The sequence below is a fragment of the Homo sapiens genome, chromosome 1, assembly GCF_000001405.40.
Source record: "Homo sapiens chromosome 1, GRCh38.p14 Primary Assembly".
NCBI lineage: Eukaryota > Metazoa > Chordata > Mammalia > Primates > Hominidae > Homo > Homo sapiens.
This window is the reverse complement of record NC_000001.11, coordinates 195,731,348-195,747,118: the sequence shown is the minus strand read 5'-3', so window position 1 is coordinate 195,747,118 and position 15,771 is coordinate 195,731,348. Positions and strand designations below refer to the sequence as shown.

General features: G+C 38.5%; 2 annotated features.

Moving 5' to 3' along the window:
• Window positions 12,946-13,240: a silencer, noted in NCBI's record as "tiled region #1679; HepG2 Repressive non-DNase unmatched - State 13:Ctcf". NCBI's record gives its function as "represses a minimal TATA promoter and a strong SV40 promoter by Sharpr-MPRA in HepG2 cells {active_cell/tissue: HepG2}" and the evidence as "EXISTENCE:reporter gene assay evidence [ECO:0000049][PMID:27701403]".
• Window positions 12,946-13,240: an enhancer, noted in NCBI's record as "tiled region #1679; K562 Activating non-DNase unmatched - State 13:Ctcf". NCBI's record gives its function as "activates a minimal TATA promoter and a strong SV40 promoter by Sharpr-MPRA in K562 cells {active_cell/tissue: K562}" and the evidence as "EXISTENCE:reporter gene assay evidence [ECO:0000049][PMID:27701403]".

The window sequence follows — 15,771 nt, the reverse complement described above, 5'->3', positions numbered from 1 at the left end:
TGCAATGTTTCAGACTAAATGTATTAAATCATGTGCACAAGTTTTCTTTACATTGCAAAATATAAAATACTGCTAAAAGAAACAAAACATAAACTAAATAAATGGAGAAATATATTTTGAAAACTGTAAAATTCATTACTGACTGGGCAGGGTGGTTCATGCCTATAATACCAGCACTTTGGGAAGCCGAGGCAAGATTGCTTGAGCCCAGAAGATTGAAATGGCTGGACCTGTAGTCGCAGCCACTTGAGAGACTGAGGCAGGAGGATCGCTGGAGCCCAGGAGTCTGATGATGCAGTGAGCTTTGATTGCACCACTGCATTACAGCCTGGGTGACAGAGAAAGACCCTGTCTCTAAATTTTTTTATTAATTTAAAAATTTATTATTGTCAGTTTTACTGAAATTGACCAATAGGTTCAACAAAATTTCATGCAGAATATCAGCAAGAATTTTATATATTACGCAAAGCTAATATTAAACTTTATATGGAAATACAAATGGTGAATAATAGTCAAAAGGATTTTGAAAAACAGATACAAAGTTGGATGATTTTAACTACCTGACATTAAGACAATATAAATCTACAGCAATCGAGACAGTGTGTTATTGGCATAATGATAGATTGTGAACATAGTGGATCAATAGAAAGGAAATAGATCTACATATCTGTGATTAATTGATATTTCACCATGTTGTTAAGATAAAGTATTCAGCTAAATATGCTCTTTTCGGGCAAATAGTAATAAAACAGCTGAATATCCATTTGGGAATAAATAAACTTTGCTCATTCACACTATATATAAAAATTTCACTTAGACCTACATTTAAAAGTTAAAATTATACAAATTCTAAAAGGAATGTTAGGAAAAAATCATTGTGACTTTGGTGTAGAATAAGGTATTCCACTTGTGACACAGACTCATAAAACAAAAATAAATTGGTATTTTTTTCTTTAAAAATGTTAACATCTGCTTTTCCAGAATACCAAGAAGAAAATAAAAATATAAGCCTCAGCTTTCAAAAATGCATTTACAATATTATCTATCTATCTATCTCATCTATCTAAATTGAAGCAATGTTATAAAACTCAGCGATGACTATTAATAAAACTTATTATTGAGCAAAAGTTCAATTAAAAATGCTCAAAAGTTTTAATAGAGCTTTCACAAAAGAAAGTATATGGATTGCTAAGAAGCACATAAAAATATGTTCCACATTTAGTGTGTGACAAACTACAGGTATTATGTAGCCAGCTGTCTGCTTTTGTAAATAAACTTTTATTGGATCACAGCCACAACCACTCTCTTATATATTGCCTCTGGCTGTTCTTGAACAACAATGGCAGGGTTGAGTAGGTTGGAGATACAATGCATGGCCAGCAAGCTTATTTTTTTTCTTCTTTAACCCTTTAAGAAAAAAGCTCTCCGACTTCACTATTCAATAATATACATCATAAAAGTGCAATTTAAAGCAAAACCAAAATGAAATAGCACTATGTAGCCACTAGATTGACTAAAAAGGAAGCAAATATAAATATCCATATACAATACTGATGAGCATAACAATTTGAACTCTCATGCATTGCCTGCAGGAATGAAAAATGGCACAGCTACTTTGGAAAATAATTTGGCAGTTTCTTGTAAAGTTGAATAGGTACATATCAAATGGGATGGTAATTGCACTCCTAAGTACTTAGCCAAGAGAAATTTTGTTTAAAAAAAAGTATTTGCATACAAGACATGAATCATCATAGCAGCTTTATGTAAGACACACTAAAATGTCTGTTGACTCATGAATGGATAAATGAGTCTTGGTATAGCCAAAATGAAATAATACTCAGCAATAGAAAAGAAAAAATTAGTAACAGCATGGGAGAAATTCAAAAGCATTATGCAAAGTGCAAGAAGTCAAGCCTGTAAGGTTATTTTCCATATAATTTCGTTTATATGAAATTCTATGTGAAATTTTATGTGAAAAGTCAATGTCAATGCCAGAAAAAATATCATTGGTTGACAATGGTTGATGTGTGAGAAAGGCATTGACTGCAAAAGGGCACAAGGGAACACTTGGGTGATGTAAATGTTTGATAGCTTAATTATAGTGGTGGTTACACAGGTATATATACTTGTCAAAACTTACAGAACTGAAATTAACATGGGTACATTTCACTATATATATCCTAACTAAAAAACTTAATATAAAAATAGATAGATAGGTGTAATAAATTATTTGGCATCTAGAAGTCAAGTTTTAGGGTATTTCAGTTTACTTTTCTATTAGTGGTAAAAGTTTAGATTAGGTTCAAGCTTTTTCTCCAAGATTTATATTATTTAAAAATGAAAGATAACCATGAATACTGCAAAATGTTTTCTTCATATTCTGCAAATTGTAAATTTTTGCAGTTACTTCCCATTGAATGTACTATTACCTACAGGTCTAACTAACAAAAGGAAAAGACTAGAGGATGAGCTATAAAATACCTTAGCTGAGTTTAAATCAAAACGATGCAGGATTTTTCTTAGTCTCTTTGTTGGACTAGCAACAGAAGGCCCCCATCTACTCAGCCAGCTGGGCCTCATCTGGCTTGCACTCTGGCCTGCTTCTCCCGTGGTCATTGTGACCCTGCACTCAGTTCCTGGCGAGAGGGAGCATGTGAACAGGCAAGAGTGGCATCTGGCCGGCCACTCTGAGTGCCAACACAGAAGCAGGCTCCATGTGGTGCCTGTGGCCAGACCAGGAGTCTCGCCCCGAGGGGAATGTGGCTGCACCCAGAGGGGTGCTCTTGACCCCAAAGCCCTGGAGGGTGTGTTACAGTATGGTAATTAGCTCTTTCAGTACCACAGTCTGCAGGCTGAGAGATGGCAGTGTGTTAGCAGCTCAGTCAGTCCCTGCCCCATTCTGGTCCACAGCTCTGGGACCAGCTCAGCCCCACCACTGCTTCCCTCACGTGCGGCATCTGCTGTCTGCCAATGAGGGTTAATGGCAGAGGGCCAATGTGACAGCCTTTCTGGGTACCTGTGTTCAGTGGGTCCCTAGCTCTTGTCCTGCCTCCAAGAAGAAAGAGGTCATATTGATAATTGAAGAGTGATGAGGGCAGAGAATTTTATTGAGTGACAAAACAGCTCTCAGTGGAGAGGGGTTGGGAAGGTTGGGTCGTCTCTCCTGAAGTCAGGTCATCTCCCCAGTGTGGCTGAGTCTGGGGCTTTTATAGGCACAGGATAGGGGAGTGTGTGCTGATTCGTTCGTGAGTATGCAAGAAAGGTTAAAACAAAGCCACCAGTCAAAGGTGAGCAGTGTAAAAACAATTAGGGAATAGTAGGTGTACGTAAAATAGGTGAAGGGTCCCCATGATCAATCAAAGGAAAGTGTACCTAAGAGGAAGACAGTTTCTTAATCTGTTCCATGGATTTGACTTGTAGTTTGGCCTTCAGGCTTTAAACTGTGGCTTGAAGGTGGGGTTTCACTGGGTACCTGTCCCTTTTTGCCCAGGCATTTGTCTGCTCTTGCTGCTATCAAAAACATTATTTTTTGATACCTAAACCTACAGTCTGCAATGAAATGAATTTTAGTGTGCAATTATTTAAAAGAGCCAACATAATCATTGAATGTATGACGTGTGTGTGTATGGCTCATATGTAGTGTGTGTGTGTGTGTGTGAAAGAGAGAGAGAGAGTAAGAGAGAGAGATAGGGTCTCCTTGTGTTGCTCAGGCTGGAGTGCAGTGGCATAAACATGGCCTCAACCTCCTGTGCTCAATAAAGCTTCCAGCCTCAGCTTCCTGAGTAGGTGAGACTACAGGTGTACACCAACAAACCCAGCTGATTTTTGTATTTTATGCGTAGATGGGGTTTTGCCATGTTGCCCAGGCTTGTCTTGAACACTTGGGCTCTTGTGATCCTCTCACCTTGGCCTCTTGAAGTCTTGGGATTACAGGAGTGAGCTACCATACCCAGCCTGAGCTATATTTGTAATAAAAAAGCACAGTTTTATAAATTGGAACTCCAAATGTCAGGTACATAGTTACCATAAATGTTTATTGAAATACACAGTATTTTCTTGTTGTGTAAAATTTTAAATAACAGTGAACTCTAATTGAAAAGTTTATCCTCATGACTATTTAGTAATATGGTACACAGTTGTTTTAAAGACAGCATGGAGTCCACTGGATTATTCAACAACTACAGTGTAAGTATTCTGGTTGTGGTCAGCAGAATCAGTGTACCATATTTTATTTTTCTTCCTACAGCATTTCTTAAAGGGACCATGGTTCATTTAACTCAATGGTATTTATCTATAAACTTAATGTTCAGGTGTTTAGGGCTTTTATTTTTTTCTCTAATATTCAGACTTGGTTGTTCTGCTTTAGAGGTATTATGTGTAGGTTTTAGGTTTAAAGGAAATAATGACAGCTATTTTGGTGGAGGAAGTTTATTCAAATTTTTATGTAGAACTAGTTACTGAAAACAAGATTTTTTGTGATCCTTAGTGTTTAAAATTAGTTTATCATCATTTGTTTTATCAGAGACGTAAGCATCCATTTTTCAACACTATAAATTGACTGTTAATTAGCACTCAACTTCCAGCATTTTTTTCTCATTCAAAAGGAAGCACCTGTATTGGACAAATTCTAGCGCTGCTGACAGCGGAGAGAATTAACCTTCCTTAATATCAGTATACTAAACATAGTTACCATTGGGTGAAGTATCACAGTTGTGATGAGATTAGCATCATAAAAGAAATAGGAACTTTACACAAAGAAAACCAACTCTGTTTTCTTGAGAAGATTCTTCCTCAATGCACACCCATCTGTTTTTTGTAACCATTATTCTATCAAAACACTATTTCTATGGCCTGAGGAACACGTTGCTAAACCCAGCAGACATTTTTTCTGTTCTTTTTTAATATGACCTGTAGCAGCATCTAACTCAGGCTTTTCTTGCTGAAATACTCCTTTCCCTTGTCTACAAAAATGATGTATTTCCAGTTTCTCTCACATATCTCTGGCTGGCTGCTTGGTTTCAGTATCTTTGTAGAATCTCCCCTGCCCCCGCCCCCCTCCCCCCACCCCCGCCCCCCCTCCCCCCACCCCCGCCCCGCCAAATGCCTCCATTTTCACTAGTCTTTTTAACCCATTCCTGTCATGGTCTATCCTGCTCTGTATGCTGGCAATCTCACCCATCCATCAAATTCTATTTTCAGTCCACCTACAATCTCTACATTTTAAAATGCAATAGTCGTGTCTCATGCTTCATAGGCCGTGATTTGTAGCAGCACTGGGCACAAATGATCATTCTTCCTTTCTTAAAACAGCTTCCTTACTAACCTGCAAGGGCAACACGTGCTCTTGTTAGTTTCTCCTTCTTAGTTAGTTGTTCCATCTCTGCCTCTTGCTGATTCACTGCTATTCTCCAAAGTCCAACAGTAGAATGTTAAGGGCTGGTGCCTTGTCACTTGATTCTAATTATTTTTTACTTTAATTTACCCTTCATTCTTTTGGTGATTTCATGCAGTCTCATGTTATTTCTTCATATACCATCAATACCCTAGTCGAATATCAGATATCTATGTATCTCTATCTCCTTCTCTCTCTATCTCATCTTAGACCTCCTTCCAAAGATCCAGATTCATATATACAATTATACTACTATTGAATCAAATTTCCAATAAAATTTCTGACAGATACATGAAACTTAAGTTCATTTACTTTTATCATGTTTTTCTTAGGGTATATACTCTTCAAGGATACAATTTGTTTCTACATTTTCATTACTCTATGTTTTACTCTTAAATCTTACATTTTTTCATAACCTTTAGTATTACATATGTAGGTTCTTATAGGGCTCTTTTATTTGATTGTATTTGTAGGTTTTATATTTCAAATTTTATAGGACAGAGTTATTTTAAAGATGGACTGATGGAATTCTATGCTTATCTCCAGGAATGATGGAAAGTCTAGTACTGACTCTTTGCCCAAATAGGGTGAGTGGGCTGACTAATAATTGAAAATATGTTGTTTAACATCTGAAATTCCCCTGGAGGCATGCAGATCTTGCTTGATTATTCATAAATTTTGTCTGATGTCACTGGTAAAAATGTGTCGTTTGGCTATATGATCAGTAAGGCATAAAAAACCCCATTGGAATCTTTGCTTGACCTCCCTGAAACTGAAACTTCTTGCACACATCTAGGTGGTGGTTTTATAAACTAAAGATAAAACATGTCCTGTGTAATTATGACCCTAGGAAGAAGTACCTCAAAGTCAATAGGGCTCCAATTGTTTCATGTTCTTTATTTTTCCAGTTATACCATAATTGTTGCCTATGTAAAACACCTTCAAGGAGTATGCTCTGTGAAGTCTTGTGAGTTCTTCCAATCATCTGATTCCATGATTTTATTGCTCATCCTATCCAAAATTGCCTTGTTGCCTATTCTTCACAATTTCTTTTTTCCATAAAATCTCCTATTTAAATTAATAAAGTCAACATTCTTTGATTTCCTTCAGGGCCTGCTGTCATGAGATGCTATATCAGAGTCAGGCTGGTGTTGGTGTCTTATTGGTACCAAAAGCCTATTTTGCCAGTCTTATGATCTCTATTTCAATGTTAATGCTAGTCAGTTGTGTCTAAACTCCGAAGAAAAGAGAGTACAAAGAAGCATATCCAACACTTCCCTTTCTGTCATGACCTGAACTAGTTTTTCAGGTTTCTTTGAAATCTTCATGACCAAGGGGGGTTCTGTTCAGTCACTGGGGGGCTTAGAATTTTAGTTCTGGTTCACACCTAAATCTCTGCTTTATCTTTTTCTACGTGTATATGTACATTTTAAGTTTCATGTTATTTGAAGTTTACTTATATTAATGCGTCTTTGTAAGTGTTTTCCCCTTCGCCTGGAATGCGCTCATTATCCACCCCCGCCCCCCCTTTTTTTTTGGATGGAGTTTCACTCTTGATGCCCAGGCTGGAGTGCAATGTTGCAATCTAGGCTCACTGCAACCTCTGCCTCCCAGGTTCAAGTGATTCTCCTGTGTCAGCCTCCCGAGTAGCTGGGATAACAGGCGTGCACCACCACAACTGGCTAATTTTGTATTTTTAGTAGAGATGGGGTTTCACCATTTTGGTCAGGCTTGTCTTGAACTCCTGGCCTCAAGTGATTCACCCGCCTTGGCCTCCCAAAGTTCTGGGATTACAGGCGTGAGCCACCGTGCCCGGCCTCTCACTATCCCTCTTACTACTCACTTTTTATTCTGTGAAGGGTAGTAGCAAATAATACTTAGTACTAAATGAACTTGGGCAAGGGATGTAACTGTACTGAACTTGTTTTCTTTTTATTAAGAGATAATATTTTAAGACTCAGAATCAATTCTTTGGATAACTATCTCTAATCCATCCAAGTTGGTTGTACCTCCCCTTAATGTGACTCCATAACACTTTGGATGTACCTATAGGGCTGTAGAGAAAATATTTCAATATTTCTGCACCATTAGGATTTTGTGGGCAAATTTTAGTGGAATTTGGGGCTTGGGTTTAAAGCACAAGACTTAAGAAATTAATTTATAACTGAAGAAAGAGTGAGAAATCTAGAGAGATTTGCCTGTCCTGAGCTGTGTGTTTACATATCAAAGATTCACAAGATCCTGGGGCCATAGAGGCATCCCTAGGGTGTTTTAGCTGGAAACAGTGATCTTATCTTTCCGCTAGCAGGATTTATTTGCATTCCAAACAGTTAGAGGAAGTAACTAGAATTATTTCCATTACTTTCCAAGAAGATACTCTAAGAAGTGGAAAGGGGACAGTTGCCTCTTTTTCTTAAATCAATAAGGAATTATATATTTTTGAAATTTCTTACCTATCATAGGCCTCTTTAAGCTTAGAATGATGTCTAGTTCTCATTGTCTTGTCCAGGAGTAGAAATTGGAACAATTTGCTATAAATGTTAGTAGTGGAATTTATCTGAGTCACACAGCACCAAAGTATGTTGCTGGCGACAAATATGTAGGCGTCTGCAGCAACCTCAATTCTTGCCTCCTTAGAAAAAAAGGGCTGTTTAGAACAAAGAACTGAGGGGCATAAGGCAGAAGCAGAGATCAAGGTATGTTTTAGAGCATGAGATAAATTTATTAAAGAGTTTTAGGGCAGGATTGAAAGGAAGTAAAGTACATTTGGAAGAGGTACCAAGTAGGTGACTTGAAAGATCAAGTGCATGGTTTGACCTTTGACTTAAGGCTTTAAATATTGGCATACTTTTGGGGTCTTTTCTCCTTTCACCCCTGATAATTCCCTTGGGGTGTGCTTTCTACTTGTGCAGTGGCCTGCAGGTGTTTGGCAGGGAAGCATGAGCAGTGTGTTTACTGTAGTTGTACACATGCTCACTTGAGGTGTTCTTCCATTACCAGTCAAATGTCCTAAGGAAGTCATATGCCGGTTAAACTCTTCCGTTTTGCTTCTTCATGCACACCCTTAAGCCCAATCACCCAACTCCTGAGATCTTATCGGGAAGCTGCTGGTCCCCAGTTTCAGGTGTTTCCTTTTATTGAGAGACTGCCTTTCTCTGGCATGGGCTGTGAACAATTATTTTACAGAGGCAGTTTAACAATGCCTGACCATCATGTGATGGTTGCCTGACATTCCTGGTTGGGGAAGGGGGCCCTCTTCTGCCCTGCTTATGTCTGACTAGCTACCTACCATAGTATTCCACCCATCAAGGCGCAAAGACCCCAATTCTTTAGGACAAATGGACGAAGATCTGTCTTCGGTAATTGCTTACTGCAGACAGGTGTGGTGGTGGTTGTTCTGTGAGTCTTGGCCTCTTGTTAGCTATCAGGGCATGAAAGTAACTCCATGGGTTAGTGAAAGTGTTATCCAGTTAGGTCCAAAGGACACAGCAGCAGTGTTTTGCCCCTGTCATTTCTCACTTATGGACAGTGTAGGGTCTTCTGTAGAAGAATGACTCTTGAATATTGACAGGAGGGTATCCCTCACTGAGGATCATCTGGATATTGATGGCCTGAAGGTGAAAGGAGACAAATTGGGTTATTAGATTTAGAAGAATGTAAAAACAAAATAAGTGGGTGAGGGCAGCTCCAAAAAATTCAGAGGCTTCCAACAAGCCCAGGTATCTGGTGGCTATAGTTATGTCTGCTAAGACTTGGGTGCATGGGGTTGCTAGACAATTCCATTATGTTCCCAGAAGCACAATATTGATCCAGATTTTTTATATTACCCATTCCTATTGCTTCTTCTGACCTGAAGCCAGAGATCACTAGTTGGTTCATAAGGCTAAGCAGGGTTAGTCTAAATTGAAGACAAAAACTCAAAAATAACTGATGAGACTAGAATCTAATAAAATGTATACCATAGTTTTTGAAACAATTTTTTTCTTCAGTGTTCAATTTTCTTAAAAACAAATGATGATAGGACTGATTTGTTTGCAAACTAAGCTTTAGTTTTATTACACTTGGCTCGATTATTTGCATAAAGCACAACAAATGCAATTATTTGCCATATAGGCTCCTTTTTAAATTGACTTTGATGTAACTTCATTTCATAGGAAATTTCAGATAAGAGTTTTATTAAAGCCTTAAGCCCAGCCATAGGTTGGTGTCACCAAGTACCTGTGCGAGTTGGATAAATTTTTCTCCTCTTGAGGTCACAGGATAAATTGGGGCTCCTGGTCCTGTCAGAAAGTGACATTCTTTATTTACCACAAGAGCTGTACAGTGACTGTGTAGAGAAGGTAAGAGAGGCCAGTTTTCTCAAGGGGCTTTTATTGGCTCCATAGATAAATTAGATTCCTTAAAGAAAAGCAGGCCATTCCAGTCAAAGTCTTGGTAAAATAGTTTCTCCAATTGTGTCCTGTTGCTAAAGAAAAAAGACTCTTAGATTACTTATGCAAATAGCCATATGGCTATAAGTTAATAATACTCAAAAATGGTTTCAAAATTCTGGAGAAATTACGTAGAGAGAAAGAAATATGCTCCAAATTTTGTTTATAGGATTACACTATAGTCAATTGTTAAAAACTGAAAACAGCTCAAAAGAAAAATTTTTTAGATTTGAAAAGCCAAAGATTAGCAGTTTTAAGCAAAAAATCATAACAGGATGATTTTAGTCTTCTATTAGTTTAGTCTTGTTATGCTTATATTCGTGAATATTTCCACTCTCCATGATGGTCCTGAAAGTTTTTTTCCTTTATTCTAATGTCACAGTCTTGAAAGTTATTATAAACCTGCCTTTAAGATCACCTGTTAGAGACCTATAGTTGATTATAAAACCACCTTTGGAAGAGGATTAAAGTAAGACAACAATTGTCTGTAGATCACAAATTGTCTTAGGACAACCATACTGAAAGTTACGATTGACAAGGAAATTTGTTACCTTGGTGGCACACAATAATTTCACATAACATTTACTATTTAAGTTTTATCAGAATGATAGGAGTTTTAACACATATCATTGTGTTATGTACTTTGGAACACATATCAATAACACATTTACACAAATACAGTCCAAATAAAGCCAGATATTACCTTTGTATTAGCCTACTATTGGTGTTAAACCAAATCCTTAATAAAACTTTATAGACAAATGTATCCAATCTTAATCTATTTGACCATAAGGTAAGATTTTCATAAACATTTTATAACTATTTACAATTTTCTCTTAAAAAGCAGGATAATTCTCTAAGAAAACAATGTTATGCTTTTATTCCAATGTTCAATTTCTGGAAAACTGAATAACATCCCTTTAATTTTAGCTAATATGTTCACACACAGAATTTTTTAAAACATTAATTTTTTACAGATCTTGTAAAACTTGCTCAAACTTTAGCTTTATCCTGTTTAACTTAAAACAATCCTTCAACCATCTAAACTAGGAGAAAACATCCTCATCCCTATGTTGTCTTAAAATTAAGTACATCTTACTGTCCTTACATGCCTTTTATCTAACACTGTTTTTCAGGTAATCTCAAATACGTGTTACACTGTTAACTCTTAGCAACTTTTACTTTTAGTGAAAAATATGGTAAATGTTTCTAATTATACCAGGATTAGAGCCTAGTACACCAGTCAGAAGTGCAGATAAGTTCTGACTCTTTCCAGCATAGCCGGGGGGACATAGCTAACTCTGTATGTCCCCAGGCCTTACCTAATATTAAAGCAGGCAAGTTGTATATTTGAAAGTCATACATAGTTGCAAGTTAGGAAGCATTCAGTAAGCCTAATAACTTTTAAATTGTACAATATTTCTTTTATAAATTCCCTTTCATGAATATTTTCATGACGTATACAGACCATCTATTATATGCTTGAACTTTCTGACTTTTCCTAAACATCCCTTTTTAAACAACCAGTTATTTTACTTTAGGACAAGAATTTACTATACAAGATAATTTCTGATATAAAAATCTCTTTTCTTTGTAACCTTCCTTACAAAAATACCTCTTTACATTTATAACCTTCTTGTAGGAATTTATGGTTTGTACTTCATATTGCTGTGTGAGTCCTGTTAAGGAGGAGCAAATAAAAAGGTTATCTAAATACTGTAGAAATTACCCCCACCCCTCCCACAAGAGATTTCTCAGTTCAATTTTTGCTAGGGCTGGTCCAAATAAGTGGTGGCTATTTTGAAATCCCTGATGTAGGACTGTCCAGGTTAAAGTCATTGGTTAAAGATTTACTTTGCTTTCCCAGGAGGAATGGGGCTATAAAAGGGGAGGATGAATTCAGAGATTGGGTAAATATTAAGTGAGCACCCATCTTGGAAACTTTATGATTCCTCCAACAGGTGTGGAGTGTTTAGACATTCCCCAGGACTGGTGGGAGAATGATAATTGGTCCTTTAAGTAATATAAAGGGGTGTGAATTTCTTCTTTTGGAAAGAGGAGTGCTATTTTTCCTTATTACCCAACAGGACTTGAAGGAGACTTCCTCAGAGAAGGAGATTAGCACAGAGTAGGCAGCTCTGGAACCCAAAAGGGAAATTTGTGATGTTACTTGTGGCCTTTGGAGTTGCCCTTGCCCTTGTCCTTTTAATGACAATGTCTGATTTGGAAGCCAGCCAGAGCAGAGAGCCCCTTAACCTCAAGTCTATCAGGAGTTGAAATTCTGTCTTAGGGGAACTTTCGCCCTCAGAGCAGTCTTGTTTTCAGCCTCCAAGCTTGTGGCAGAGGGAGCAAGCCATGAGGGGTTTTTTCCCATTTATGCTATTGGGGCAGTTTGCCTTCCAGTGGCTTTGCTTCTTGCACCACTGGAAGTTACCTGGGAGGGTATTCTGAGGGCAACCAGGAGGGCGCTGGAGAGCTTGTAAAGCAGCCAATAGTTGAGCTTGCCTCTGGTCCCTATGTTTCTTCTTTTTCTTACCCTTGTCTTCCTGTTTTTGTTCTCAGTTATGAAAGATTGAAGAGGCTAATCTGAGTATCTCCTGCATAAAGGCACTGGGTTTCAAGGCTGTCTTCTGTAATTTCCTCACAGTTCATTTTTAAGCCAAACAGTATTACAAAGGAAAATGAGTTATTTGTTTTAAGGTTTGGGAGAATCAAACTTTTCCCTTTTTTTGAGGTTGCACCAAAGGACATGCCTGTGCTATGGAGACGTGATTACCCATCTGAAAGAAGAGAGGAGAAAAAAGGAAAAAGAAGGTGTTCCATCTTACTTTCCTATGAATGTGGTCCCCCATCATCCTTTGGGTTCTGGAATGAACTGGTCTTATCATGTACTCTTAACTTTGGTCTCATCTCATCCCCACAATTACCCACTTTAGAACAGAGGAGATACTGGAGCGAACAGTGTGCCCCCTGTTCATCCTTGGGGTTCTGGAATGAACTGGTCTTACTGTATACCCCTAATCTTGCCTTCACCTCTGTTCTAATGTCAATCTGTTAGCTGGGGACCAAACTTTATCTCTGTTCTATGGATCTCTTGGGCATGTGGCATTGGGCTGGCCTATATCTTTGTCTCCATGACCTTATAGTGACTCTCTCATAGAGCATTTTAGCAACAAAATGATTATCACTTTTCTTAGATTCCCATTTCCCATGTTCTTTAAGTAGATGAGAAGCCTGCTTTTCAGTTAACTGCCACAAGGGGGCTGGACTTCTGTTCCCTCTTGCTTTGAATGTGACCTTGAAGGTCTTGATGCAAGTTGAGATGGGTGTGGAAGTAATTAGAGAAAAGCAGGCTACAGGAGGAAGTGGGAGAAAGTGAGAGGAATACTCCTGGAAAGCCTTCTTATGCTTGCAGAAACAGCAGCCCTTGGATTCGAGAGGGCAATGTTTATTTGCCCTCTTGATGTGAAGTAGTAACTTTTGGATAATTTGGGACCTGGGATAGAAACTTCAAAACAGTTCAGGAAGAATTTTACCTTTTCCCAAAGGGGTGCTAACTCAAAAAAGCAAGTAAGTGGGATCCTTAAAGGTCCAGAGTGTCGCCCCGTGCTGGTAAACAAGCTGCTTCAAAAGACACTAAGAAACTTGGCCCTGAGATGTAACAGGAACTAAAAGCGTATAGTGAGTCATAAGATGCTGGCAGAGACAGTATTCCAATCAGTGTCTGTACCAGGGGTGGTGGTCATCCTAGCTGTTAAGGTAAGAACAAGTATAAATCTCAAGGGGTATCTGCAAGGGAGCCCATGTCTTTGCTGCTGGGCAAATGCAGTAAGAGCTGTGGAAGCACAAATAACAGGGAGCGTGTGTTTGAGAAGCCAGGTGGCCTGTGAAGTGAAAGCAAAGAGGAAGATTTGCCCTAAGGTTGATGGTCCAGTGTGTGCTCAAGGCCATTTTGGAACACAAACAGAGAAAATGGGAGAATAAGTAGTGTAGGTTTTTGGGAAAGAGACAATTTTAGTTGAAAAAGCAGATGAAACCCCAGACATTGCACGGTTTTAGGCTTTAGCTCTACCATTCTTATGAGCGTCCTGTCCAGGAGGGCCATTAGGGCCTCAGTTCTACTTGATGCAGACCCCAAGGTTCTTCCCACCCCCACAAGCCACCTATCAGGGTGAGTGAAGAGATCAGTTGGTGGGAGCAGAGCCATATGTGTCTGAGAGGAATCATTTTGGGGTTGGTTAATAAAGAGAAGAGTGAAAGGGGAGAAGAAAACTATTTATGGGGGTTGAATATCTCTAGCCAAAGGTGAGGTGTAGAGGTTTCTTACCACTAGGGAATGTATCCGAGTCACGTGGCACCAAAGTATGTTAGCAGTGGAATGTATCTGGGTCACAGCACCAAATTATGTTAGTGGTGGTGAGTCCACATGGGTCTGCAGCAACTTCAATTCTTGCATCCTCAGAAGAAAGAATTCGACTGAGGGGCACAAGGAAGAAGAAGTGATCAAGGCAAGTCATAGAGCAGGAGTGAAAGTTTATTAAAAAGTTTTAGGGCAGGAATAAAAAGTAATGAAGTACACTTGAGAGAGGGCCAAGTAGGCGGCTTGAGAGATCACGTGCCCTGTTTGGGCTTTAATTGCACTTTTATACATTGGCACATTTCTAGGGTCTTGCATCTCTTCTCCCCTGATTCTTCCCTTGGGGTGGCCTGTCTGCATGTGCAGTGGCTGGCTAGCGCCTGGGAGGGGACTATGCATAGTGTGTTTCCTGGAATTGTGTGCATGCTCACTTTGAGGCATTTTCCCCTTACCAGTAAAATATCCCAAGGAGGTCATATACCAGTTAAACTCTGCCATTTTACCTGTTAGTGCACATGCTTGATCCCACTCACCCAACTCCTGAGATCTTATCAGGAAGCTGCTGGTCCCCAGTTTCAGATGTTTCTGTTTATTGGGAGACTGCCTTTCCCTGGCATGGGCTGTGACCAGTTATGATTTTTGAGGGACGGGTTAACAACTGCCTGATCATCACAAGATGGTTGCCTGACATTCCTGGTTGGGGCAGGGGTCCTCTCCTGTCCTTCTTATGTCTGACTGGCTACCTACTACAACATAAATAAATAATAATCTTTTCTGCTCCAGAAACATAGTGTCTTCATTTGGAATAATATTGATAGATCAATAGATAGATATTAAAAACTTAACTATACTTCACACAATTTTATTGTTGTTATTATTTGAGACAAGGTCTCACTCTGTTGCCCAGGCTAGAGTGCAGTGGTGCGATCTTAGCTCACTGCAAACTCCAGCTCCTGGACTCAAGCATTTTCCCACCTCAGCCTTCTGAGTAGCTAGGCATACAGGCACACACCACCATACCCAGCTAATTTTTGTATTTATTTGTAGAGACAGGGTTTCACCATGTTTCCCAGGCTGGTCTCAAACTCCTGAGCTGAAGCAATTCGGCCAGCTCAGCCTCCCCAAATGCTGAGATTACAGTTGTGAGCCACCATGCCCAGCTACTTCACACAATTATATCATACAGAATATATGAAACATTCTTTATATATGCCTTTCTTCTAATCTTGATTAAGAGTTTCTAAAAGGAATGTACTCTATAACATTCACCTTTTTCTTGCTTAATGTCTAGCATTTGGTAAATCTAAACAGAATAAATATTGAAAGATTGGATTTAAACAAAAATAAGATGACATGGCAAAATTTACAACATAAATGAAATCTAGGCAAGAATTTAAGACAAATGAAGAATAAAAGAAAACACGAAATGTTGTCTAACATCTTTGGTGTATCAGAAGAGCTTTGAATTTTCAAAACAGTACTTTTGACAGTAAAATAGTAATTGTTCTTGTGTATCTATACATATGTAACATACGTTATTAAGAGTTTGGAAAAAGTATGTGAAGCATATTAAAACATGTTTTTTAATAAAG